The sequence below is a fragment of the Homo sapiens genome, chromosome 20, assembly GCF_000001405.40.
Source record: "Homo sapiens chromosome 20, GRCh38.p14 Primary Assembly".
NCBI lineage: Eukaryota > Metazoa > Chordata > Mammalia > Primates > Hominidae > Homo > Homo sapiens.
The window spans coordinates 50,578,156-50,603,039 of record NC_000020.11 but is presented as its reverse complement, the minus strand read 5'-3'; the positions used below and the strand labels follow the sequence as shown (position 1 = coordinate 50,603,039).

General features: G+C 51.6%; 2 protein-coding genes and 1 non-coding gene across 17 annotated transcripts in view, besides 5 other annotated features; 1 reads left to right on the top strand and 2 right to left on the bottom strand.

Annotated features, from left to right (window-relative positions):
* RIPOR3 (RIPOR family member 3) overlaps positions 1 to 16,932 on the top strand; it is a 105,435-nt gene extending 88,503 nt beyond the window's left edge. For 8 of the 14 annotated variants that reach the window (XM_006723713.5, NM_001290268.2, XM_011528579.3 and 5 more), the window contains 10 exons: positions 396 to 968; positions 5,330 to 5,460; positions 6,777 to 6,900; positions 7,536 to 7,671; positions 8,326 to 8,487; positions 9,844 to 10,005; positions 10,494 to 10,696; positions 13,271 to 13,354; positions 15,148 to 15,238; positions 15,708 to 16,932. In XM_006723713.5, coding sequence (XP_006723776.1) covers positions 396 to 968; positions 5,330 to 5,460; positions 6,777 to 6,900; positions 7,536 to 7,671; positions 8,326 to 8,487; positions 9,844 to 10,005; positions 10,494 to 10,696; positions 13,271 to 13,354; positions 15,148 to 15,238; positions 15,708 to 15,808 — 1,767 coding nt within the window. In that variant the 3' untranslated portion in view covers positions 15,809 to 16,932. Of the gene's footprint in view, positions 1 to 395; positions 969 to 5,329; positions 5,461 to 6,650; positions 6,741 to 6,776; positions 6,901 to 7,143; positions 7,499 to 7,535; positions 7,672 to 7,938; positions 8,277 to 8,325; positions 8,488 to 9,843; positions 10,006 to 10,493; positions 10,697 to 13,270; positions 13,355 to 15,147; positions 15,239 to 15,707 lie in introns of those variants that run through there. The other 6 variants (NR_110890.2, XR_936505.3, XR_936506.4 and 3 more) reach the window with 6 other exon arrangements.
* Positions 586 to 1,086: an enhancer, noted in NCBI's record as "H3K4me1 hESC enhancer chr20:49218491-49218991 (GRCh37/hg19 assembly coordinates)". NCBI's record gives its function as "activates a minimal SCP1, AML or CMV promoter by ChIP-STARR-seq in naive H9 embryonic stem cells {active_cell/tissue: H9 hESC(naive)}" and the evidence as "EXISTENCE:reporter gene assay evidence [ECO:0000049][PMID:30033119]".
* Positions 14,614 to 14,908: a silencer, noted in NCBI's record as "tiled region #3633; K562 Repressive non-DNase unmatched - State 12:CtcfO". NCBI's record gives its function as "represses a minimal TATA promoter and a strong SV40 promoter by Sharpr-MPRA in K562 cells {active_cell/tissue: K562}" and the evidence as "EXISTENCE:reporter gene assay evidence [ECO:0000049][PMID:27701403]".
* Positions 14,817 to 14,876: an enhancer, noted in NCBI's record as "active region_18093". NCBI's record gives its function as "activates an Ori minimal core promoter by ATAC-STARR-seq in GM12878 lymphoblastoid cells {active_cell/tissue: GM12878}" and the evidence as "EXISTENCE:reporter gene assay evidence [ECO:0000049][PMID:35858748]".
* Positions 15,693 to 16,205: an enhancer, noted in NCBI's record as "H3K27ac-H3K4me1 hESC enhancer chr20:49203372-49203884 (GRCh37/hg19 assembly coordinates)". NCBI's record gives its function as "activates a minimal SCP1, AML or CMV promoter by ChIP-STARR-seq in primed H9 embryonic stem cells {active_cell/tissue: H9 hESC(primed)}" and the evidence as "EXISTENCE:reporter gene assay evidence [ECO:0000049][PMID:30033119]".
* Positions 16,206 to 16,719: an enhancer, noted in NCBI's record as "H3K27ac-H3K4me1 hESC enhancer chr20:49202858-49203371 (GRCh37/hg19 assembly coordinates)". NCBI's record gives its function as "activates a minimal SCP1, AML or CMV promoter by ChIP-STARR-seq in primed H9 embryonic stem cells {active_cell/tissue: H9 hESC(primed)}" and the evidence as "EXISTENCE:reporter gene assay evidence [ECO:0000049][PMID:30033119]".
* MIR645 (microRNA 645) lies at positions 17,161 to 17,254 on the bottom strand. The gene has a single exon (NR_030375.1). It is a non-coding gene; the product is annotated as a microRNA 645 (primary transcript).
* The window catches only part of PTPN1 (protein tyrosine phosphatase non-receptor type 1), a 74,859-nt gene continuing 67,773 nt past the window's right edge, over positions 17,799 to 24,884 (bottom strand). For both annotated transcript variants that reach the window (NM_002827.4, NM_001278618.2), the window contains 5 exons: positions 24,411 to 24,620; positions 23,711 to 23,872; positions 23,114 to 23,337; positions 21,580 to 21,775; positions 17,799 to 20,348 (listed from right to left, as the gene is read on the bottom strand). In NM_002827.4, the coding sequence (NP_002818.1) occupies positions 20,325 to 20,348; positions 21,580 to 21,775; positions 23,114 to 23,337; positions 23,711 to 23,872; positions 24,411 to 24,620 (816 nt within the window). In that variant the 3' untranslated portion in view covers positions 17,799 to 20,324. The remainder of the gene's footprint in view (positions 20,349 to 21,579; positions 21,776 to 23,113; positions 23,338 to 23,710; positions 23,873 to 24,410; positions 24,621 to 24,884) is intronic.

Here is a 24,884-nt window from a genome sequence, read left to right as displayed (position 1 = left end):
CCAGGACAGGGTTCTCAGGAGAGGTGACACCTATGTAAGGTCCTGAGGAGGCGAGGGCACAAGCCATGAAGGCACATGGGGAAGAGTGTTCTGACGAGAGCACAGTCAGTGCAAAGGCCCTGAGGCAGGAACGTGGGGCCCAGCCCACAGGGCATGAGCAATAGCCAGGAGGCTGTTGAGGTTGGGGGGAGTGAGTTGGAGGCGGGATGGGGGATAAGTGCAGAGAGGGGACAGGGTTTTTTCTGCACCTCTGGGATGCTGGTCACCTCGGCAGGCCTCAGTCATCCTGAGAACATGGGCATGCACAGCGGGTGTCTGTCAGGGGAAGCCCCTCTGGGGGACTTGCTGTGGTCCCTGGGGTGGCTGGTGAGGCCGCTCCCGTGTCCCCTCTCCAGTCTGTCCTACAGCAGCCAACACAGCAGGCCTTGCTGCTGGGTGGCCCAAGGGCCACCTCCATCCTCAGCTACCTGTCTGACAGCGACCTCCGGGGTCCCAGCCTAAGAAGCCAGAGTCAGGAGCTGCCTGAGATGGACTCCTTCAGCTCTGAGGACCCCCGAGACACGGAGACCAGCACGTCGGCGTCCACCTCAGATGTGGGCTTCCTGCCCTTGACCTTCGGTCCCCACGCCTCCATTGAAGAGGAGGCTCGGGAGGACCCCCTGCCCCCAGGTCTCCTGCCAGAGATGGCCCACCTCTCTGGAGGCCCGTTTGCAGAGCAGCCTGGCTGGAGGAACTTAGGAGGGGAGAGCCCCAGCCTGCCACAGGGCTCCCTGTTCCACAGCGGCACAGCCTCGAGTAGCCAGAACGGCCACGAGGAAGGGGCAACCGGGGACAGAGAGGACGGGCCTGGCGTGGCCCTCGAGGGGCCTCTGCAGGAGGTCCTGGAGTTGCTGAGGCCCACGGACTCCACCCAGCCCCAGCTCCGGGAGCTGGAGTACCAGGTCCTCGGCTTCCGGGACCGGCTGAAGGTATGGCCACCCCGCCCCGGGCGGTGGCCCTGCTTTGCTGATGGCATGATGACTGGGAGTCGGGGGCTCTGGGGCCACGCAGCCTGGGCCGACATCCTGGCCTCACCTCTGCGTGACCTGGGTGGGCCGTGTCTCTCTGGGCCTTGGTTTCCTCATCTGGCAAGCGGGGATAACAACAGCCCTCATGGGGCTCAGGAAGATTTTAAGAGTTCACAGTAGATAGGCTCATGCACATCCAGCCAGAAACTGGCCCCATCTCGCACCTTCTGACCTGGGTGGGCGGGGCTGTGGCTTGTGGCTACAAACCCAAACTTGGAGTGTTGTCAGGGTCGCAGCTGGCTCCATGGAAGGCCCCACACAGTTCCCTGTTTGCCTCATCCACGCACCCCGCACTGAACCTTCTCCACAGGGCTCATACCCCGGGGCTGTTCTCAGTTCACAGGAGGGCTTAGGTGGCAGGTGGCTTTCAGAGGTGCTGACCTAGGCAAATTATTACATTCTCCTCTCGTGTTTACACAAATTTGAATGTACATCAAAAAAATGTATACCACTAGTACCTACTAATACATCAATTAACTTAAGGGTGTCCTTCCCTGAACACGCTCTTTTATTTTTTATGTATTTATTTTTTGAGATGAAGTCTCGCTCTGTTGCCCAGGCTGGCAACAGAGTTGTAGCGGCGCCATCTCGGCTCACTGCAACCTCCTCCTCCCAGGTTCAAGCATTTCTCCTGCCTCAGCGTCCCGAGTAGCTGGGATTACAGGTGCACACCACCACGCCTGGCTAATTTTTGTATTTTTAGTAGAGATGGGGTTTCGCCATGTTGGCCAGGCTGGTCTCAAACTCCTGACCTCAAGTGATCCGCCTGCCTCAGCCTCCCAAAGTGCCGGGATTACAGGCGTGAGCCACTGCACCTGGCCTGGACACCCTCTTTTAAATGGCAACTCCCACCTGGCCCCGGCAGGCCCATCCCTTCCTGCTCTGTGTTCCCTCGGTCCTTATGCCCTCAGACTGGCTGTGCACTTCTCTGATTTTGCTGTTTTCTGTTTTCCCCTCTTTTGTGTAAGATACACTTTGGCACTGAAATAGTTAACAGCTCTCTTCAAACACATTTTATCGCCAACCACACCTCCAACAGGACAAATCAACATAGGGGAAAAAAAGTTTAATTTCTCATTTTACATCCATAACTTTAAAATATGTTCCGTTTACCACTACTATGGTTGTTAAAAAGGACCTGCCTGAAAATTTCCAGAAAAAAATTTAAGAAATAATGTCAACTTTTTGGTACTTCATGTTTTTCATTTTTCTGGAGACAGGGTCTCACTCTGTTGCCCAGGCTGGAGTTCAGTGGTGCAATCTTGGCTCACTGCAACCTCTGCCTCCTGGGATCACACGATCCTCCCCCCTCAGCCTCCTGACTAGTTGAGGCTACAGGCACACATCACCATGCCTGGCTAATTTTGTTTATTTTTTATAGAGACGAGTTCTCACTTTGTTGCCCAGGCTGGTCTCAAACTCCTGGACTCATGCAATCCTCGTGCCTCAGCCTCCCGAAGCGTTGGGATTACAGGCGTGAGCCATCGTGCCTGTACCTTTTTTGTACTTTTTAACAGCCTTTTTTTGTAGACTAATTTGAGTCGGCATGCACATTTGTCACATACTTGTATTTTGAAAAATTACACCCAATTTACATAAAAATGTTAATGCCGCAATAATGTAATCATTTTAAACGTCTTTAAGGAACTTTTCTTTTTTTGGCAAACGAAGTCAGAACAATGCAAATTGATTACAGACCGTGGTTTTTGGTTTGACTTTCTGGAGAGAAATTACACACACACACATTTATGCAAATCTATGTGTATATGATGGTGGGCGCAGTGGCTCACATCTGTAATCCCAGCACTTTGGGAGGCCAAGGCAGGTGGATTGCTTGAGGCTACGAGTTCAACAGCAGCCTGGCCAACATGGCAAAACCCCGTTTCTACTAAAAAGACAAAAGAATTAGCTGAGCATGGTAGCGTGCACCTGTAGTCCCAGCTACTTGGGAGGCTGAGGCAGGAGAATCACTTGAACCCGGGAGGCGGAGGTTACAGTGAGCCAAGATCGCACCAATGCACTCCAGCCTGGGCAACAGAGCGAGACTCTCTCTCTCAAAAGAAAAAAAAGTGTGTGTGTGAGCGCATACATACACACATACATATACATGATTTATCCTCATTATTTGTGGATTCTGCATTTTGGAATTTACTTACTTGCTAAAATTTATTTCTAACCCCCAAATCAATACTCGAGGCGATTCCAAAGTGGGTTTTGGGGCCGGGCAGAGTGATAGAAAATCTGAGCTGCTCAAAGCACACATTCCCAGCTGAGGTCAAGCGAGGCAATGCTTTGCCTTCCTGTTTCAATGCCCAAATGGTAAACAAGTGTCCTCATGGTCTATTTAATGCCATGTTTTTCAAGTTTTTGTGCTTTTTGTTGACAGTTTCACTGTTTAAATGCCTCCCAAGCCCAGAGCTTCAGTGCCGGCTGGTGTTCCTCAGTCCAGGAAGCCTGTGAAATACCTTACAGAGAAAATGTGTGTTAGATGAGCTTCCTTCAGGCATGAGTTGTAGCGATGCTGGCTGTTGAGTTCAATGTTAATGAATCAAAAATAGCTTTTTTTTTTCCTTTTTTTTTGGAGACGGAGTCTCACTCTGTTGTCCAGGCTGGAGTGCAGTGGCACGATCTCAGCTTACTGCAACCTCCACCTCCTGGGTTCAAGTGATTCTCTTGCCTCAGCCTCCCTAGTACCTGGGGTTACAGGCACGTACCATCATGCCCGGCTAATTTTTGTATTTTTAGTAGAGACAGGGTTTCACTATGTTGGCTAGGCTGGTCTTGAACTCCGGACATCAGGTGATCCACCTGCCTCGGCCTCCCAGAGTGCTGGGATTACAGGTGTGAGCCACCACACCCAGCCAACAATAGCTATTAAATAAGGTGTCTTTAAACCAAAAGACACATACAAAGTTCTGCATTGCTGAGTTGATAAAACTGCTGTGACCAGAGGTTCACAGGAACCTAACCCAGTAACTCCCTTAGGAGCAATGGTTCAGCTTTTGCTGATTCAGTTTTTTTGCTGTGATTTTATAGAACATAACCCCCTCCTTTTTTTTTTTTTTTCTGAGATGGAGTCTTGCTCTGTCGCTCAGGCTGGAGCGCAGTGGTGCAATCTTGGCTCACTGCAACCTCCGCCTCCCCGGGTCAAGCAATTCTCCTGCCTCAGCCTCCTGAGTAGCTGAGGCTACAGGTCTGTGCCACCACACCCGGCTAATTTTTGTATTTTTAGTAGAGATGCAGTTTCATCATGTTGGCCAGGCTGGTCTTGAACTCCTGACCTCAAGTGATCTGCCCGCCTTGGCCTCTAGAACATAACTACCTTGACTATTGAGAATCAGCAGTCTACATGCATGTGTGTATTGATACACACTTACATACACATGTATGCCTATATTTTTGTATTGGAAAATGTGATCTCTGCAACTAGCCTTGTTATTCCCTTCGTCCTCAAGATTTTCTCTTTGGCTCCGCAGTTAGGATCCTGGTTTGGTTTTATGGCTTCTGCTTGGGCTGTGCCTTGGCTGCAGTTTGTGTTGGACACAAGGCCTGGGTGGGGTGTGCTGGGAACGGGGGCAGGAACCAGCCCCAGAGCCAGCCACGAGTTGGGGACAAGACAGAAATCTCCAGGGAGGGAGCTGGCACTGGAGGCTCTGGTGACTTGACCAGTGGCGGGTTGGTGGCCCCAACACTCTCCCTTAATCTGTTGGGGAGAGAAACCCAACAGGGAGGAGGAACCTGGAGCCCACAGGCCTCTGAGCCTCGTGAAGAAGCGTTTGCCTGACCTACACCATGTATTTAAAATACTTTGAAATTTGTTGTTGGTATTTCAAAGCTGGGCAGTTTCCCATAAATATCCATGTTTTAGGGTTTTCTTAGAACTGGGCGATCTATGAGCGTGGCCCCCTCTTAGGGGAGGCACCTGCGCTCCTGCCTCCCTGGTCCCCGCTGGGGCAGCTCACTCACTCCTGCCATTGGCCTTGTCCCCGTGGGTGTCTGAGATACAGGGGAGGGTTTTCAGATCTGTCCCCCTCAAGATTCTGCTCCTACCTTGTCACAGGCCATTCAGGAGGGACTTTGGGGGGTGACACGCCCAGTGCCACGCCTTGGGCCAGCGGCTGGGCTTCTGCTGGGGGACGGTGTGTGGGATTGGGGCTTGGGACCGGGACATTGCCCAAGTCTGCCGTGAGGCCCCTGGCCAGTGTCCCAGTCGGGTGGGTGGGGCCCGGTGTTGCCCTCAGGTCTGGCCACTTCGTCCACAGCCCTGCAGAGCACGGCAGGAGCACACCTCGGCCGAGAGCCTGATGGAGTGCATCCTGGAGAGCTTCGCCTTCCTCAATGCCGACTTCGCCCTGGATGAGCTGTCCCTGTTTGGGGGCTCCCAGGGTCTCCGGTGAGTGCACCTCCTTCCAGCAGTGACCCAGTGGCCACCACTCCCACCGGGTGACCCGAGCTCCACGTTTCCTGCCAGCCTCCCCGTCTGTTTCTCCCACTGTCCTTGGCTCAGCTCTTGTCACTCTATCGTGCACCCTTCCCCATGCCATCCCCGCACATCCCCCACTTGCCTCAGAGCCGGTCCTCAGAGACCACGAAGTGGGTGAGATCACCCCAGCCTGCCCCTGAGCCTTCTGCTCCAAGGAACCAGCTTTTAGTATTATTTTTTAAACCTTAAAAATAATCACCAAGTATATAGTAGAAGTTCTTTGAGGCCAGGCACAGTGGCTCACGCCTGTAATCCCAACACTTTGGGAGGCCGAGGCAGGCGGATTACCTGAGGTCAGGAGTTCAAGACCAGCCTGGCCAACATGATGAAACCCCGTCTCTACTAAAAATACAAAAATTAGCTGGGCATGGTGGCAAGAGCCTGTAATCTCAGCTACTCAGGAGGCTGAGGCAGGAGAATCACTCGGACCCGGGAGGCGGAGGTTGCAGTGAGCCAAGATGGCACCACTACATTTCAGCCTGGGCGAAAGTAAGACTCTGTCTCAAAAAAAGAAAAAGAAAAAGAAAAAAAAAGCTCTTAGCCCCTAACCAAGGTGCAGCAGTATCCAGTGCTGTTCCCTCTGTCCCACCACAGGGCCCACACCTCTCATGACAGCTTCCCTCGAGGCTACGCAGCCTCACCTGCCCCAGCCCCCGAGGGCTTCTGCATCCGCATCTCACCACATGGAAGAGCAGAGGCTCAATTCCTTCTCCTCGCCTCTCACAATCCCACGGACGAGTGCGGTGTTTCGTGCCACACTTGCTTCCACCCTTCCTGAGTGGCTGAGTGGGTCGGGCAGCAGGTCTAGCCTCTACCACAGAGTGGACTTGGTGTGAGGCGCTCTTGCCCACCGTATTTCATGCACCCCTCACGGCCTTGAGTGTGGGGCTCCTGCCTCCCTTGATAGATGAGTCACCTGAGCCTTGGGGAGGCAGACTTGTCCAGCGTCACAGAGCTGGGATGAGTTGGAATTCTCTTCTACCTCCACGAGACATCCTGGAAGACGACTGCCCGCCCTGCCTTCCCCAGGCCCTTGGCCACACCTCCCAGCTCTGTTTCGAGTTGCTGCCACCCTTTGTTCCTTTCCCCTTCCTCTTCAGTTGAACTTCCTGGGACCTGGAGTGGGCCTCCTGACCTGGGGCTCGCTGGGAAGGGAGGGTTCCCCCACCCTCAGAGGGAGCTGAACTGCTAACTGGAATGGTCACCCAGTTCTCAATTCAACTCAGAAAGGACCGGCCCCTGCCCCCACCGTCATCACTGAAAGCGTCATCCAGGGAACTCACAGCCGGTGCCCCAGAGCTGGACGTGCTGCTGATGGTACACCTCCAAGTCTGCAAAGCTCTGCTGCAGGTGGCTGGGCTAGGGGACTTGTCAGGGAGGGGCAGACAGGGGTTTGGAGTCCTCTTTGCAAAGGCTCATCTTGAAGGTGGTGGGAAGCATGAAGGGGTGACAGACCTGCATCCTGGAAGCCCGTGAGACTGAAGCTATTCCCCAGTGGAAGAGAGGCAGACCAGGGTCTGGGTGAATACTCGTGTGGCTCTTACACAGGCCAAGCCCTAAACCAAAGGCTTTGGTGGTGACTCTCATTTATAGGTGCCAGAACCCTAATGCAAACTGGCTCAGCCAACAGGAAAATTTATCGGCTCATGGTACTGAAAGCCTCAGAGGTAGGCTTCAGGCTCGGCTGGATGCACGGGTTCAAATGCTATCAGGACTAGGTCTCTCTCAGTTCTGCTTTGCAATGTGGGTTGGCTTCACTTTCAGGCAGGTTGGTCCTCCTTCTGGGGGCAAAGGTGGTCCCTGGCAGCCCAGCCTGCATCCCATTAGCTCAGCCACCTTGGTGAAAGGGGAATCCCCAAATGACAGTCAGGGAGCTGCCCCCGGGACAGAAGAGATGGGCACAAGCAGGTGGGAGCCACAGCCGTAACAGCTGACCTCGGTGGGCATGTTCCATGCTAATCTGGAGCATCTGGGCTGCTTCCCAGAAACTGGCCTCCCCTAATTTATCAAGGCTGGTCCAGGAATGCCTCCTGGAAGAAGTGGCACAGCAAAAGCACGTTCTGGAGACACTTTCTGTCCTTGACTTTGAGAAGGTCGGCAAGGCAACATCCATTGAAGAGAGTAAGTAGCTGCCTGCCACCCAGGGGCTGCCTATGTGAGCGGCACGGGGACGGGATCAAAGCTCGGGGAGCCTCTTCTGCCTTCCTAATAGCCAGAGTTAATCGGGGCCCAGAGTGGAGGCTGTGGCTGGGCTGGGCTCAGAGATACACACTCTTTGTGGGGAGGTAAGGGAGACAAGTCCTGGAGTTGCAGCACACTCTTCAGTCAGCTGTGTGACTCTAGGCAAATGATTCACATCTCTGAGCCTCTGCTTCCCTATCTGCATAGGAGGAGGGCACTGCACGGGGTTCAGTGAGGTAACCCCAGGCCACATTCAAGGTGCAGAATGTGCCGTCAAACAGTAGCTGTGATCCCAGCTGTGCCTCTGCCCCGTGGGACCTCCCCTCAGAAGGCCAGGTTCCTTGTCTGTAAGGAGAGGCTGGTGACAGCAGCCCCTCCCAGGTTGTTGTGGGGACTGCAGGTGGTGGCCCTGGTAAGATGCTTAGAGCCAAAGTTGCTCACGTGTCACATGGGAATGCAGGGAAGGGACCTCGCATCAAGCCACACCGTCCCCTCCTCCCTACCCCCTCAGGTCCTAGTGGAGGGAAACCTTTCGGGTCCTTGTCATGTGCTCTCCCCGAGTCACCATTCAGGTTTCTGAACTGGGGCTTTCAGTCATCCCACAGGCCTCGCGGACGAAGGGGTGCCTGAAGCTGTGGAGAGGGTGCACAGGGCCTGGCAGGGTCCTGTCCTGCCCTGCCACGACGCTGCTGAACCAGCTCAAGAAAACCTTCCAGCACAGAGTCAGAGGGAAGTACCCAGGACAGCTGGAAATAGGTGGGTTCCCTTCTGTCCTGTCGTCCCCTCCCACAGAAAGGCTGTATTGAGTCTCCAGGGCCTTCAGGGTGGCCACAGCTGGCCTCATTTCAGCCCTGTCTTCACCTCTGTGTCTTCATGCCATCGGACGGAGGAGCTTTCTCAGCTTCAGTGCGAGTCACCGCCCTTTCACCGGGCGAGAAGGGGCCTCCACGTGGGGCCTTCTGAGCAGTCTGTGGAGCCCTGAAGCTGCGTGCAAACTTGGTGGGCCGGTGCATTTTTTTTTTTTTTTTTTTTTGAGATGGAGTCTCACTCTGTCGCCCAGGCTATAGTGCTGTGGCACAATCATGGCTCACTGCAACCTCTACCTCCCGGGTTCAAGCGATTCTTCTGCCTCAGCCTCCCGAGTAGCTGGGATTACAGGTGTGCACCACCACGCTTGGCTAATTTTCTTTTTTTGTATTTTTAGTAGAGACGGGGTTTCGCCATATTGGCCAGGCTGGTCTCGAACTCCTGACCTTGTGATTCGCCCGCCTCGGCCTCCCAAAGTGCTGGGATTACAGGCATGAGCCACTGCGCCCGGCCGCCAGAGCATTTTTCTGGGGACAGATTCCATGCCTCCCACCAGAGCCTGACGGGTAAAGAATGAACCTTATGGGAAGGGAGGCAGGCAGGGGCCCACGAGGGTATCTAGAAATGCTGGCTGGACTGCGTTCTTCCCCAGAATTTGCCTTTCTCTGTGGAGCAAGTGAAAGGTGACAGTCATGTTCCAAGCACCACCTGGACTGCTTGTTGACATGCATATTCCCAGGCCCTGCCTCCGGGATTTTGATCCAGGTGTGGTGTGGGGCCCAGGGCATGGGGATGAACCCAACACGGTCTGACTCAGGGTGAGTTGGAGTCACAGTCCTGACTCTAGCTGGGCACACTCCTCCCCTACAGCACAGGGAATGCAGTGAGGGACACCTGCCCTCGTGCCATCAGAAACCCTTTTTTTTTTTGAGATGGGGTTTCACTCATGGTTGCCCAGACTGGAATGCAGTGGCGCAATCTTGGCTCACTACAACCTCCACCTCCCGGGTTCAAGCGATTCTCCTGCCTCAGCCTCCAGAGTTGCTGGGAAACAGGCAGGCACCACCACACCCAGCTAATTTTGTATTTTTAGTAGAGATGGGGTTTCACCATGTTGGTCAGGCTGGTCTCGAACTCCTGACCTCAGGTGATCTGCCCACCTTGGCCTCCCAAAGTGCTGGGGTTACAGGTGCGAGCCACTGCGCCCGGCCCAGAAAGCCTTTTAGCTGACCAGGCTACTCCCAGCTGAGAAGCGTGGAGGGTCGAGGTCTCAGTTTCTCCTGATGTACTCTCCCCTTTGGCCAGCGTGCCGCAGGCTCCTGGAGCAGGTGGTCAGCTGTGGTGGGCTGCTCCCCGGAGCTGGGCTCCCAGAAGAACAGATCATTACCTGGTTCCAGTTTCACAGCTACCTGCAGAGGCAGAGCGTCTCTGACCTGGAGAAGCACTTCACCCAGCTCACCAAGGAAGGTAAGACTGGGGTGGGTGGCTGTCATAGCAGAGGAATATCCACGGAGCCCTGTCACATGCAGTTTCTCAGGTTATAATTCAGAACCACTACATCCATCCCCGCCAACTGTTCTTTTGGGAACCCCGATTTAATGAGATTCTGCGTTCAGCCGATGGGGGCTGATATTAGCTCCAAGGGAAGTCAGCTTTAAAAAGCACGGAACAGAGGTCAGAGCTGGGTAGGAGGGTGATCTTGGCTGGCCAGAGTCCCTGGAAGTGTGGGCTGTGGTTTTATTAATTTATGGAGCATATTTGACCCCTTGTTAAAAGGCCTTCCTGGAGATTCCAGGAGCTCCCTGTGAAATTAGTCCAGGCTGGGCCTTGGTGATCATCCCGGTGGGTCTGGGATTTGTTCCTCTGTGGCTACTGGCAGCAGCCAAGCAAACTTGCAGCTGTCCTGCCAAACTCCCATTCAGGGGACCTGGGCCCACCTCTTTCCTGTCTTCTAGTGACACTCATCGAGGAGCTTCACTGTGCGGGACAGGCCAAGGTGGTCCGGAAGCTGCAGGGGAAGCGGCTGGGCCAGCTCCAGCCTCTGCCCCAGACCTTAAGAGCCTGGGCGCTGCTCCAGCTGGACGGCACTCCGAGGGTGTGCAGGGCGGCCAGCGCTCGCCTGGCTGGTGCAGTCAGGAACAGAAGCTTCCGGGAAAAGGTACGTTGTCCAGGGCAGGTGGCAGACCCTGGCCACAGATGTGTGGGCATAGGTAAGCTGGTGTTCTCATGGAAAAGTACAAAGAAGTGAGTGCCAGGGGCTGCAGTAGCTGTGAGCTATTTTGATGGAGGGACCTGGGCTACGATCTAACACACATGAATGCACCTTGCTGCTTCCAAAGCAACACATCTGTTAGGCCTCTGAGATGTCACTTGCACGCTGAATGTTTTTCTTAGTGCGTTTTTTGTCTGTCTGTTTAGACAGAGTTCTGCTCTGTTGCCCAGGCTGGAGTCCAGTGCCACGATCTTGCAACCTCCACCTCCTGGGTTCAAGCAATTCTCCTGCCTCAGCCTCCTGAGTAGCTGGGATTACAGGCGCCCACCACCATACCCAGCTAATTTTTGTAATTTTAGTAGATACAGGGTTTCACCATGTTGGCCAGGCTGGTCTCAAACTCCTGACCCTGCGATCCGCCTGCCTTGGCTTCCCAAAGTGCTGGGATTACAGGCGTGAGCCACTGCGCCCAGCCTTTCTTAGTGTTTTGATAGTCATCCTTATTTACTTTCAATTAATATTCATGGCTACCTGGTAATGGGTCACTGTGTTCAGTCCATTTGAAAACCAAGAGAGTGGACCTCTCTGCTTTTTCACTCTTTGCCTGTAACTACTGTACGTTTAAGGCGCCACACCCTGAGGGGTTCAGGAAGGGTGACATCAAGGGCATAGTCTACACTGATGGTCTCAGCTCCAGACTAGAGAGGAAATCTCCAGTTCCATTGCCAATAGCCCTTCTTGGAGCCCATCCGCCTACTTTGTGGTTGTTTTTAACTCTTTATTTGGAGACTTTTGAACTTGCAAAAGTAGACAGAGCAATATAATGAATCCACCTGCACCCATAACCCAAGCCCAACCACCATCAACCCATGGCCAATCCTGCCCCTTTCCCCTCCACTCCCCTGTATCACTTTGAAGCAACCTGAGGCATCCTATTTGACCTTAAATAGTTAACTATATGTGTCAAAAGGTTAAGAATTCTTTCAAAAATCACAACTCTAACACCATTATCTTATCTAAAAAATTAACTATCAATTCCTTTATATCATATATCTTATGTTCAAATTTCCAAGCCTCAAGCATCCTGTTTTATTTTTTGTTAAAATAGTATCTACATAAGGACACACATTGTGATTGGCTGATGGCTTCCAATCAATCTAAAGGTTTTTTTCCCCGTTTCTTTCTCTGCTTGCAATTAATTTGATCGATCCCAGGTTGACCTAGACTATCTAGACTTTGCTGCTTGCAGGAAGTTTAACGGTAGTTTAATGTATTTCTCTGTCTTCTGTAGTTCCTGAAAACTAGTAGTTGGCTTCAAGGATCCACTGAAGTCAGGTGTATTTTGTTTTTTGGGTATGGGGGTATATAAACAAGGCCTCCATGGGAAGCAGAGGCTGCAGGGAGCCGAGATTGTGCTACTGCACCCCAGGCTGGGCAACGAAGTGAGACTCTGTCTCAAAAAAAAAAAAAAAAAGGGCCTTCATCTTCATGTGACAGACTTTAGAGAGTAGGAAACACTGAGGTGGGGGCCAACCCAGTGACAGATTGCTTGGCCTCAGATGAGGGTGCTGAGGAAGGAGTAGGCTGCCATGACCTGGGACCCTGGGGTTAGAGGCAGTGGGCAGTGTGACATTTCCACACCGATGTGGCCTCACAGCCTTCACCAGAGCCCTGTGTAGGAGGAGCGGGAGGACCCGATCCTACTCCCAGTCTGTCTTCCCAAAGCAGCAGACACTTTGGAGAGCCACCTGCAGATGGAAAGGCGGCCATTCTCTTTTGGCTCTGGGCCCAGGTCCCTGGAGCCAACTCTACACCTGGGCCCCTCCATCGCCCCACCCGTGCAGTTGAAGGTGCAGCCACTCGACTGAGTGAGGGCAAACCCACTCCTGGGTTTCCCTTTGCAGCCGCAGACGCTGGACTCCACTGCGGGCCGGGCATAACCCTGTGTGCTTTCTGACAAACCCTACAATAACACATGAAGCAAGTGCCAGCTTTGTTTTCAGCTGAGTCAAGTTAGGCCCAAAGACATGAACTGATGTGGCCATGGTCGTGAGACCGAAGAGGGCAGGGTCACCGCTGGGATTGGACAGGAGGGCTGAGGGGAATAGGCAGGTTTCCCTCTGGCCCAAGGCAGCAGCCTTGCCCGTTTTCAGCTGAAGAGGGCAACGCACATGGGATGATCAGTTCTTCTGTTGTTCTGAGCTGGGCATCTGATTTCTCTGATTCAGCATTTTATAGACAGCAGTTTCAGAATGCACTTCCGGAATATTATTAGACAAAAATAGCTTTCTTCATTGTATTAGCCCTGGCATCTGTTTTTAGGGATAAATTAAACACCACAGTATAGATCTTGTGACTGTGTACACAGGGCCCAAAGATGGACCGATCGTGTCCTGAACGTTGTTTAGAGAAAGATGGGCACAGCGTGCCTTACTGTCGGCACCTGGTGGCTGATGGACCCGGAACCATGGACTCCACTTCTGCTTACCCCTCCATTCACAGCCTCCTTACTCTCCCCAGGCTTTGCTGTTCTACACCAACGCCCTGGCAGAGAACGACGCAAGGCTCCAGCAGGCCGCATGCCTAGCGCTCAAACACCTCAAGGTGAGCCTGACGTTTCCCCATTAGTGGCTGATAGAAAAGCCTGCTTGTGGTTAGGGTTAAGGTTAGTTAACTTCAAAATGATTCCACTGGGGCTGGGCGTGATGGCTCACGCCTGTAATCTCAGCACTTTGGGAGGCCAAGGCAGGCAGATCACCTGAGGTCAGGAGTTTGAAACCAGCCTGGCCAACATGGCGAAACTCCATCTCTACTAATAATACACACACACAAAATTAGCTAGGCGTGGTGGCACATGCCTGTAGTCCCAGCTACTCGGGACTTGAACCCGGGAGGTGGAGGTTGCAGTGAGCCGAGATCGTGCCACTGCACTGCAGCCTGGGTGACAGAGCAAGACTCCATCTTAAAAAAAAAAAAAAAAAAGTTACAAAATACAGAGATAGAAAAGAAAGTTATCCATCATCCTAGAATGTAGCAGAAACAATGGTTGACATTCTGGTATGCTTCTTTTAAAAGTTTGTGGGTGTGTGTGAGCATTTAAAATTGTTGATCCAAACATAGTTTAAAAACAGTCAACAAAATAAGAACATTTTGTGTTAGACTGGCAGCACTTTAGCTTTTTTTTTTTTTTTTTTTTTTTTTTTTTCTTGAGATGGAGTCTTGTTCTGTCACCCAGGCTGGAGTGCAGTGGCGCGATCTCGGCTCACTGCAAGCTCTGCCTTCTGGGTTCACACCATTCTCCTGCCTCAGCCTCCCCAGCAACTGGGACTACAGGCGCCCACCACCACGCCCGGCTAATTTTTTTGTATTTTTAGTAGAGATGGGGTTTTACCTGTGTTAGCCAGGATGGTCTCGATCTCCTGACCTCGTGATCTGCCCGCCTCGGCCTCCCAAAGTGCTGGGATTACAGGCATGAGCCACCGCGCCCGGCCTAGAATTCTTTATTTGTGGTGTTTTTTTTCTTTTTTTTTTTTTTTTTTTCACTTGAGAATTCTTTATGAAGGGGCTATCAAGTGTATACCTTAATTTAACCTACTCAGCTGCTTTCATAGGAAAGTTTACTTCATCCAATTTTTATCATAAATCATGTCTTATGATCATGTTTGTGCATAAAGCTTTAAAAAAACATGGAGTTCTGAATTATTTCCTTAGGCTAGACCCAATTCTAGGACCGGAGAATATGAGCATTTTTGAGACTCTTGATACAACCCACACATAGATCCCATGGATGTGAGGGGATGCCCGCTTTCCCTCAACCTCACCTGCATTTGGAATTGCACAATTGCTAGATGAAAGATAATTCAGTACAGATTGAACTCCCATTCATTCTGGGATGGATCAGCAGGAAATTCTAAGAGGAGAAGCTGGTTAGGATCAGAAAACCAGCGAGGGCCAGGTGCCCAGTAGAGGGCGCTGCAGCGCATGCCGGTCCTTGGCCTGCAGGAGCAGCCAGGGGGCATGTGCCTGAGTTGGGCGAAGTACTGGCACAGGCTGTCCTGGAGAGTAGGGCAAGGAGAGCGTGAGGGAGGCAGGAAGGTCCAGAAAGCAGCAGGTCTCCTTTTCAATTCTAGCCTTTCAGCAGGCATCCAGGATGACGAGTTCTGCTAACAGCCTGGCTCCCTAGCGGGTGTAAGGGCTGAAGAGGCGAGACGCTTCCAGAGTCCAGAGGTGCCTCTCATGAACCTGAGGCCACCTAAAAAACCTGGAAGCCTGGAGAAAAGGAAGGGGCTGAGGCCCCAGAGACCATGCTAGGACTGGCCCTGCAGGGCCACTAAGTGGACTCTACCTGCTGTTGAGAAGGCCCCCTAAAGGGTTCTTTTTCTCCTAATCTCGAACAGGGCATTGAAAGCATCGACCAGACTGCCAGCCTGTGCCAGTCTGACCTGGAGGCCGTGCGGGCGGCAGCCCGGGAAACCACACTGTCGTTCGGTAAAAAGTGGCACAAACTGTGCAGCGCAGCGGGGTGCCTGGGGCCCTTAGAATCTGCGAGAGGCCACACCCAGCTCTCCCAGCAGGCAGAACAACTCTGGGGCACCTGGGATGGGCACCGTTAGCAGCCCTGGCACAGAGCCGACCTCCACCCTTTGTAGCATCCTGCCAAGGCAGGCCTCCTCCATGGCTGGGGTGGCAGGGAGTGTTCGCTGTCTTCTTAGACCTTTGGGATAGAAGCCAGAGGCAAGGCAGGGTTCCCATTCAGCGGAACATCCTAGAGGTAAAGACAAGGCCCCCAGGCCATGTGAGTCACCAGGTGGGGGCTCCCGCACATACTCCCTCCCCTGCCGCTTTGCAGAGACCACTGAGACCCACAGTCACTAAGCACTAGGGCCACCCTGGCCCAGGAGAGTTGGAAGTGCCAAGGCAGGATCCAACCCGCTGACAGGTCCCTTTGCTATTTCAGGTGAAAAAGGACGGTTAGCTTTTGAGAAGATGGACAAGCTCTGCTCAGAACAAAGAGAAGTCTTTTGCCAGGAGGCAGATGTTGAAATCACAATATTTTAAAAAATCCTGGCTGATGAGCACAAATCTCACATCGTTTTTTTTGCTGCTGCCCAGCCTGGACATAGCCTGCACTCTGGGTAATGGTGCTGTGCACTCCTCCAGGAGTGTGAGCTGCCCAGAGCTCTACCTGAGACTCCGGCCATTGACCCAGCCCCAGGGCATGGGCTGGTCTTTTGTACAGAGGCAGAAAAAAGCAAGGCAAAGGTACAGCATTCCAGGGGCTGCACGGCCTCAACAGAGCGCTCAACTTCTGGCTGAGGGTCTGTGTGACCTTCCCCGAGATGCAGAGCTGAGCCAAACTAGGTGGCCACCTACAAAAGGGCCAAGGCCAGGCAAGTTGAGGCCCTAAATAAAAGGCTCCAAGGCAAGTGTGTAGAACTCCAGGCCTCGCTGCCGGTCAGCTGCTCGGCACTTCTGCGTCAAGAGGCACTGGGGATGCAGCAGGCTGGCAGGTGGCTGGCCCTGCTAATGCAAGACTGCTCAGGCCATTTCAGCAGCAGCCAGGTGTCACCTTGGTGAGCTGGGGAAGGTGGGAAGGCACAAAGCCAGGGTTTCTACAACCACACTCTCAGCCCGACTGACTTGCTGCGAGTGCTGGTGGAGCTCACAGACGGCGGCTGGTGGATGGTGGACTGTGAACCTCACTTTCCCTATGTTCAGCAGCACAAAGGGAAGAAGCCACCACATCAGCCCAGGAGCCCTGAGCAGCACAGGCAGTAGGGCCACTCACTTTGGCCATCCGCACCCAAATGCAATCAATCAACCCAGCTTCGGAAGCTACCCTAGGATCTCGTCAATAAACTGCTAAGAAGCCATCAACTGGCCTAAAGAAAGAGTTCACTGAAGAACGCAATTGCTTTAAAGAAAGAAAAATTAGTTTCCTATTTAAGTCTTAAAAAAAAGCAAACCATGTCCTGAGATGTCTGTGTTAATAGTGCAGAGAGAACCTAGGGTTTGAGGTTGCTGTAGCAATGGCATTGGAGAACTTTAACTTGAACATTCTCATCGATACTTCCTGGACATATTTTGTGTTTTTAACTTACTTAGTATTTATTTGCCTTGTTCATATGTTCAATTTTCTGAAATTTCAATTAAACTATTGGTGTTTCACTTTTTACCCAAAAGAGTAGACAGCAGTTGTTTCCCCAAATACCTGCCAGTGAGGAGGTCACTCCTGTGGTCTTGTGGTGCGCTGTGGGGACACTTGGAGGGTGGCCTCAGGCAGCAGCTCCGGTAAATGCAGTCTCCAGGCTTCTCTGCATGCTCTCGAAGGCTCCAGGCGTGCTCTCCCCTATATGGGCACTCTGTGGCACGGCCTTTGCCCTTTTGTCCCATCTGATTTCTGGCAAACCCTCTCTTTTTAAGCATCAGCAGTACCAGCCTAGAGCAGGGGTCCTCAACCCCCAGGCCACAGACCGGTACTGGTCTGAGGCCTGTTAGGAACTGGACTGCATGGCAGGAGGTGAGTGGCGAGCGACTGAGCATGACCACCTGAGCTCCATCTCCTGTTAGATCAGCTGCAGCATCAGGTTCTCTTAGGAGCGTGAACCCTATTGTGAACTGAATGTGTGCAAGAGATCAGGTTGCAAGCTCCTTATGAGAATCTGATGCCTGATGATCTGAGGTGGAAGTTTCTATCCCAAAACCATCCCTCACCACCCCCAGGCCTGTGAAAAAATTGTCTTCCATGGAACCGGTTCCTGGTGCCAGAAAAGGTTGGGGACCGCTGCCCTAGAGCATCCTCCCTCTTCTTGAAAGCTTAGATGCCCTTTTTTATACCTGAAATGGTGGAAGCCACACTGACTTCTGCAGCCCCAGGCCCCTGTGGGTCCACATGACCACAGCCTGTCCTCTTCCCAGTCTCATGAGCCTGGGCCTGCAGCCAGCTTTGAAACAGTCGAGGAAACTTCGAGGGTACTGGGGAACTCTTCGTACTATTTTGGCAACATTTTGCAAGTCCAAAATTACTTCAAAAAGTCAAAAAAATCACTTTGGGGGGAATTTACATTGTTTAATTTTGTACACAAATGAAAAACTATACTAATCTGTCTTATTTCTAAGTCAATTCTATATCAAGTGGACTTTACGTACTGAGATGTGGTAACCATTGTGTCTTACAGGTAATTGGGTAAGGGATATGGTTTTGAGATTACAACTCAAAACACTGTTCTTCAAACAACACTGGTAAGTTTGTTAAGTTATCTGAGGGCCCTACACAGGCAAAGCGTCAATTTGGGAAGGAAATGGGCTGAGGCCTAAGGTGTTCAACAAGCTCACAGTCAAGGAAAGCGCTCCAGCCTGAGGGTGCTGGCAATGCAGGGATGCTGAGGTTAATTCTTAGAAGTGGAAAACTCTAACCCCAGCTGATTGACAACATCTGTTTCACATCAGCAGGGATAGAAAGAAACAGGAGTTACTCATCCTGGTTTAGCTCTATTAAGCAAAGAAAAAAATGGGAAGCACCCCAAATTCATGTTCTTTAGAAAAAAATTTTATTGTTGCAGCTAAAATGCAAACCCATCATGAATATGGCAAGTTGGAAAACTGTACAGTCTGACAGTTCTGTGAGGTCACAGAAGACCCTGAGACACTCCCCCCCACCCACCCGGTCATGCAGCCACGTATCCACACACACCTGAAAAGGTATTATACCAAAACACCTTGCTTTTTTTGTTTTTATTTTTGTAAAAATGGTTTATTCCATGGCCATTGTAAAAAATAATGACCTGATGAGTAAATATTGGCTTAAGGCATATAGCAGAGCAGCTCGCTACCTCTCTAACATAATGTGTAACAAGGTGGAGAGCCAGCTGCTCTCCAAGGATAGGAGGTTAAACCAGTACGTCCATTTTGAAATGCTACTATATATACACACCCAAACTACTACATACATATACAGGACTTAAAAACAACAAGCCCAGCTCAGAATGCTTACAGCCTGGCACCTAAGCCTTATCCACACCTCACCATAGCTCTGCAGGGTGACACCTCGAATGTTCCCACCACAGAATTTCTCTGTACTGGCTTCTACCACGAGAAAGGCAAAATGTGAAAATGCTGGCAAGAGAGTAGCTCGGGAGCTACAGCTGCCGTGTTTTTCATGTTAAAAAGCCACTTAATGTGGAGGTCTTCAGTTCCCTTTGCAGGAAGAGTCGTGAGCACCATCAGGCCCCACAGGGTTTGAGGGTGGGGCAGACGCGCCTCTCTCGGCAAGGTGAACCGGGACAGAGACGGCGGCAGGCTGCCTAAAGGACCGTCACCCAGGCTGTTTCAAGAAGTGTGGTTTCCAGCAGGTGCCTCTCTTCCAAATCACGGTCTGCTCAAGAAGAGTGTTGACTTGGAATGGCGGAGGCTGATCCCAAAGGTGGGGGGCGGGGGGTGTCCCTGCTTCCCTAAATCATGTCCAGAGCGTGAGGTGTGAATATGGCTTCCCATACCCTTGGAATGTCTGAGTTACAGCAAGACCCTGCTGTACCAGGACAGGCTGGGCCTCACCAGGAAGTCACTAGAGTGTCATGCCAGGAATTAGGCAAATGCCTATTCCTGGAAAACTGCACCCTATTGCTGAGCGACAATGACTTCAGCAACAGGCTTAGGAACCACAGCCATGTAATGATCAGGTCATGCACAGGCAGGTTGGACTTGGACATGGGGCACATTAGTAAGCAGAGATCAAAGTTTCTCATTTCAAGCACATATTTTTCATCAGGACACAAGAAGACCTTACATGCATTCTAATACACACGGGGGAGCAGTGATTGAGAACTAGATCTAGCAGATAACAGGGAGGAGAATAAGCGGGACAAAGTAATCTCACATCATGTTTCTTATTAAATACCCACGTGTTCATTATATATTATAGCATTGTTCTATCTTCTCACGTTACCCACAATATCACTAAATAACAACTGCTTACAACCGTCCTCCTTCCCAGTACTGGTCTGACGCAGCAGGCCCATGGCAAAGCCTTCCATTCCCAGTACTACCTGAGGATTTATTATTGTACTTTTTGATAAAGCCCTTGATGCAAGGCTGACATCAAAAAATTTTAATACATTATTGGTTCAAGAAAATGCTAGTGCACTATGGATGCCTTTGGGGAAAAAATTGTTTAAATAAATATGGAGTGGAGAGTTGCTCCCTGCAGATTCAAGGGGGGGGCTGTTGGCGTGCCGCCCGCCTGGGATGCTCCAGGAGGGAGCCCTGGGTGGGGCGAGCCCCAAGACGGGTGTAGGCCCCTTCCCTCTGCGCCGCCAGCATGGTACTCTCTTTCACTCTCCTCAAAAAATGGCTTGTGGATTTGGTACTCAAAGTGGAAGGGGCAAAAAGTAAAAGGATGAGGGGTGAGACACACATCCGGGGAAGATGGGTTTTAGTGCAGAACCAACGTCCGTCCGGGGCCCGGCTCTCTACGCGGTCCGGCGGCCCTTACCTACCGCGGCATGCCTGCTAGTCGGGCGTGGGCTCTGCGGGCAGAGGCGGACAGTGGGTGGAGGTGGAGTGGAGGAGGGTCAGGCTATGTGTTGCTGTTGAACAGGAACTGGAATGAAACCAAACAGTTCAGATGAGCCCAGACCCGCACCTGCAGAGCTGTCGCCTCATGCATGACCCCGGCCACACCCCCCGGCAACTTCAACCTCCGAGGGAGCAAAGGGGGTTTTGGTTTTATTTTTTACAGTAGCCCCCTCTCCCCAAAAATCATCCCCAAGGAAAAAATTGTTTGCATTTTGCAAAACCATCTGATGTACTCAGATGCCACCTGGAAAGAGGTAAAATATTTAAAACCACGAAAAAGTCTTAGGAGGTCATTTCCATGGCCAGAGCTCTGAGGCTAGTCCTCTCTCTTCCCCTTACTTAACAGCAACACACGTCTAACGTGTGAATTTCTGCTGAAATGGCACTTCTCCCAATGAGGTGGAGCCCACTTCTCTGAATTAACAGCGGGTTGACATGCCAATGGCCACCCTGTGGTGACCTCTGACCCCCAGGCAGAGGCCTCGAGGACACCCATTTATGGGGATGGGGTGATGAGGGCTGGTACATGAGCAAGATGGCTGTCACAGGAGGGAGCAATGGAGAAAGGACAATGGAAACCCAGCGGGGACACCCTGAGCAGAAGCAGAGGCAGGTTCTGTTTTTCTAGACGGCCTTTTGTTGCTGTTCTTCTTATAGTGGGAAAGCTCAAAGACCCTGTCCTGGCTCAGTGTGCACACAGCTGAGGGGGGCTTGAGCGCAACAGCGTCCTAACCCTCTTCTCCAAGGGAGTTTACATTCGTAAAAGTTTGGGATTCCTTCCCTGGGAAATCAAATATAAATTATATGGCTGATTACATCACCTAAGGGTATGAGAAAGTTTCATAAGTGCCTACTTTGTTTTTTTTTGTTCCAGAAATAACAAAAAGCTGCTTTTTATAAAGGTTAAAAACAACAATGTGTTGTAACTCTATTTTTTTCCAAAAACAAAGGAATAAAAAAAAAAAGAGAGAGAGAAACAGACGTATTTGGCATTTTCTCTACTTACTCCTGAATAGGTTAAGGCCCTGAGATTAGACTCTTATATTCTTGGGACCAGAGGGCTCCTTAAAACCCCAGTGCATCGATCCTTAATTCTCTTGTTAGCCCTTCCACAGTTCCAGACTTTAAAAACCTTTGATCTGTTTCTTCTGAGACTGGCTCAGATGCACCACAGAACTGAATCCTACCATCGGGCTAGCGGCCAGTGCTCTCTGCACACGAGCATCTCGCCAGCGCGTCTGTCAGTGGAAACATACCCTGTAGCAGAGGTAAGCGCCGGCCGTGAGGACCGTAGCCACGCACATGTTGACCAGGAAGGGCTTCCAGTAACTCAGTGCATGGTCCTCGTCCTTCTCGGGCAGTGACGGCTCCCCTTTGGCTGGGGAGGCAGCCTGGGCACCTCGAAGACTTCCCCCCACGACCCGACTTCTAACTTCAGTGTCTTGACTCATGCTGAGGAATCAGAGGGCAGAGATGGGTTACTCACTTTGGAGAAAATGAATGGCAAGGATGCTGCTATTGTGGCAGGAATTCTAGGAAAAAACAAGCCACGTGTAGACAGAGTTGGATGATGTTAACCTTCCAGCGAGCCAGCCCCCTCTGCTTGGAGGGAGGGCCAGGCCAGGGCCCACATCAGCCTGAAGTCCACTTGTCACCCCCTCCCCCAGGTACTTCAGATAGCACCCACACCCAGGGTAGGGTTCACAAGGTGCCTGGGCGACTGGTCACTGTGAGGATTTATCTGGCTGGAGGACTCACTGGTGTACACACTACTGTATGATTTGCCTTCTCATGTACTGCAATTGCAATGTCTGGCCACATCAGTACACCCAGATCTCATTCTTTAAGAGCTACAGAATATCCCAACACCGGGAGAGAACATAATTGATCAGGTCCCTGGTTATATCATTGGCCTGTCTCTAATTTTTCACTACTACAAACAATGCCACAACAAACACAACTACCTATACACATCTTTACACGCTTGTTTTGAGAGTTGCTGCAAAGTAAATTTCTCCATGTATACAACTGCTGGGTCAAGTATGCACACGTCTTAAAACTTCCCTCCAGAAAGCAGGTACCAAGGGCACAGCCGGCAGTCATCTCCAGCTGGAACTAACACCTGCTCATTCTGCAAACTTTCCGTGCACGGCCACCTACTGCAAGCAGCCTTCCCTGACCACCTCAGCGGACACCTCTATCACATCACTGTCCATGGGCCCCCACCAAAATATGCTTTGGGTCTGCCTTTTTCCCAGCAAGATGGTCTAGAACACAGACCAGGGGACATGTTCTAGTTAACTCAGTACACCACACATATCAATAGGTACTCAATAATGGTTGTTAACCTGCAAGGAAGTAAAATGGGATTTAATCAAGACCACATAAAAAAGGTTACATTCCCCAAAGGACCACTGTGGGGACTGAGGGCACTCAAGCCTGGACATCACATTTCAGGACTGTCCGGAAACCTGGGGGAGGGCGCTGTCGTCAGGGGGGGCAGAAAAACCCTACTCGGTGGCTCCGAGCCCCTCATTCCAACAAGCACCACAAGGTGGCACTAGAAGCCCACAGAAGTGGCTCATGTCCTGCGGCCACCCTGTGCCCAATACCGGACCTCCAGCAGCCAGGAGTGGAGTGGCTGTGGTCCACGCGCCCTGTTCCCCAAGGATGCGGAAGCGCTGCTTGCCAACAGGAGGCTGCATCCACAGGGTTTCAGTACCAGCGTGTGTTTCTAGAACAGAAAGTCATTTCCCCTCACCCCAACAAGCTGGGACCCAATCATATTACCTTTCGATGCCGTAGGGTGCGGCATTTAAGGGGCTTCCTTTTTCTTCCTTGATGGGGCAGTCTTTATCCTCCTGGGTCTCTTCCTTCACCCACTGGTGATTTGGGAAGAACTCCCTGCATTTCCCATTGTGTGGCTCCAGGATTCGTTTGGGTGGCCGGGGAGGTGGGGGGATATGCTCGGGTGGGGGCTCCAGGTCCTCGTGGGAAAGCTCCTTCCACTGATCCTTGAAAGAGCAGCAAGAGGAAGTCCTATTAGTGTTCACTTCGGCTGGTTTGTCAGGAAATCCCTTTGCATGAGCAGAGGTGACGGCTTGGCGAGGGGCTCTCGGCCTCTCAGGGCTGCAGCCATGTACTTGGAAGATGAAATCTTTTGAAAATAAAGTCTCGTCTTCCTATCAATGCTCTCTATGTGAGCACTTCAAAGGCACAAAGTGCAACATGGTGAACATTTTGACAACTTTCTAGCTATTTTAAACATGAAGGGTAGCTATTTCCCCTGACACCAGACGGTGTTTGAACTTTTACAACTGACAGCCTCCTTCAAAGACAAAAAAGTTAAAATGGTCACACCTGGATTCAAACAAAGGCAATGCTGACCTGCACGGAAGAGTCCCCCATGATGAATTTGGCACCTTCGATCACAGCCAGGTAGGAGAAGCGCAGCTGGTCGGCTGTCTGGATCAGCCCCATCCGAAACTTCCTCATTTCTAACAGCACTTTCTTGATATCAACGGAAGAAGGGTCTTTCCTCTTGTCCATCTGAAAGCCAGAGAGGAGATATAAGTCAGCCAGGTCCAATTCTCAAGGGCAACGTTAATAACACCGTTAGATGTCTGTCCCCTCCCAATCTCATGCTGAAATGTGATCCCTAGTGTTGGAGGTGGGGCTGGGTGGGAGGTGTCTGGGTCAGGGGGACAGGTCCCTCATGAAAGGCTTGGTGCCCTCCCTGAGGCAATGCATTCACAAGAGAGCTGGTTAAGAGTCTGGGACCTCCCCCATCTCTTGCTCCTGCTCCCCTTCACCTTCCACCATGACTGGAAGCTCCCTGAGGCCTCCCCAGGAGCCGAGCAGATGCTGGTGCCATGCTTGTACAGCCTGCAGAACCGGGAGCCAGTTAAACCTCTTTTCTTTACAAATTACCGAGTCTCAGGTACGCCTTTATTAGTAACGCAAAAACAGACTAACACAGTGAGTCTCTGTATTTTGGAAGAGGAGCGCTTCAGTTTCTACTTAGGAAAAAACATCACAGCAGAGCAGGTAGAGGAGCTCCCCAGGGCACCCGCGAGGGCCTCCTTACCAGCAAGAGGCAGGTATCAGCCAGACAGAAGGTTCCAGACCTGCCGATGCCTGCACTGCAGTGCACCACAACGGGCCCGTGCTCCGGGCTGAGTGACCCTGACTCTCGGACTTTGAAAAGAAAGTTCAAGAATGAGGCTGGTGATTCAGGGACTCCAAAGTCAGGCCATGTGGTATAGTGGAAATGTAAGATCTCTCGAGTTTCTTGGGTCTGAAAGAGAAAAATACTCATGATGATTCTAAAAGAATCATCTGTACAGAAATCACTAATTCCAAGTACACACAGAGTCACCTTCCACTCTCTACCTCTAAGAGGAACATTCATTCTCAGACTTTCTCCCAGGGTCCACACACCCAGTCAACAAATACCACACCCTGGGGCCAGGCCCTGGGCTTGACACTGAACCTGCAGGGTGCGCCTGCTTAGACTTCATTTCCCTTCGGATTGAAGAGTCCCCTCACCTCTTTTCTCCCT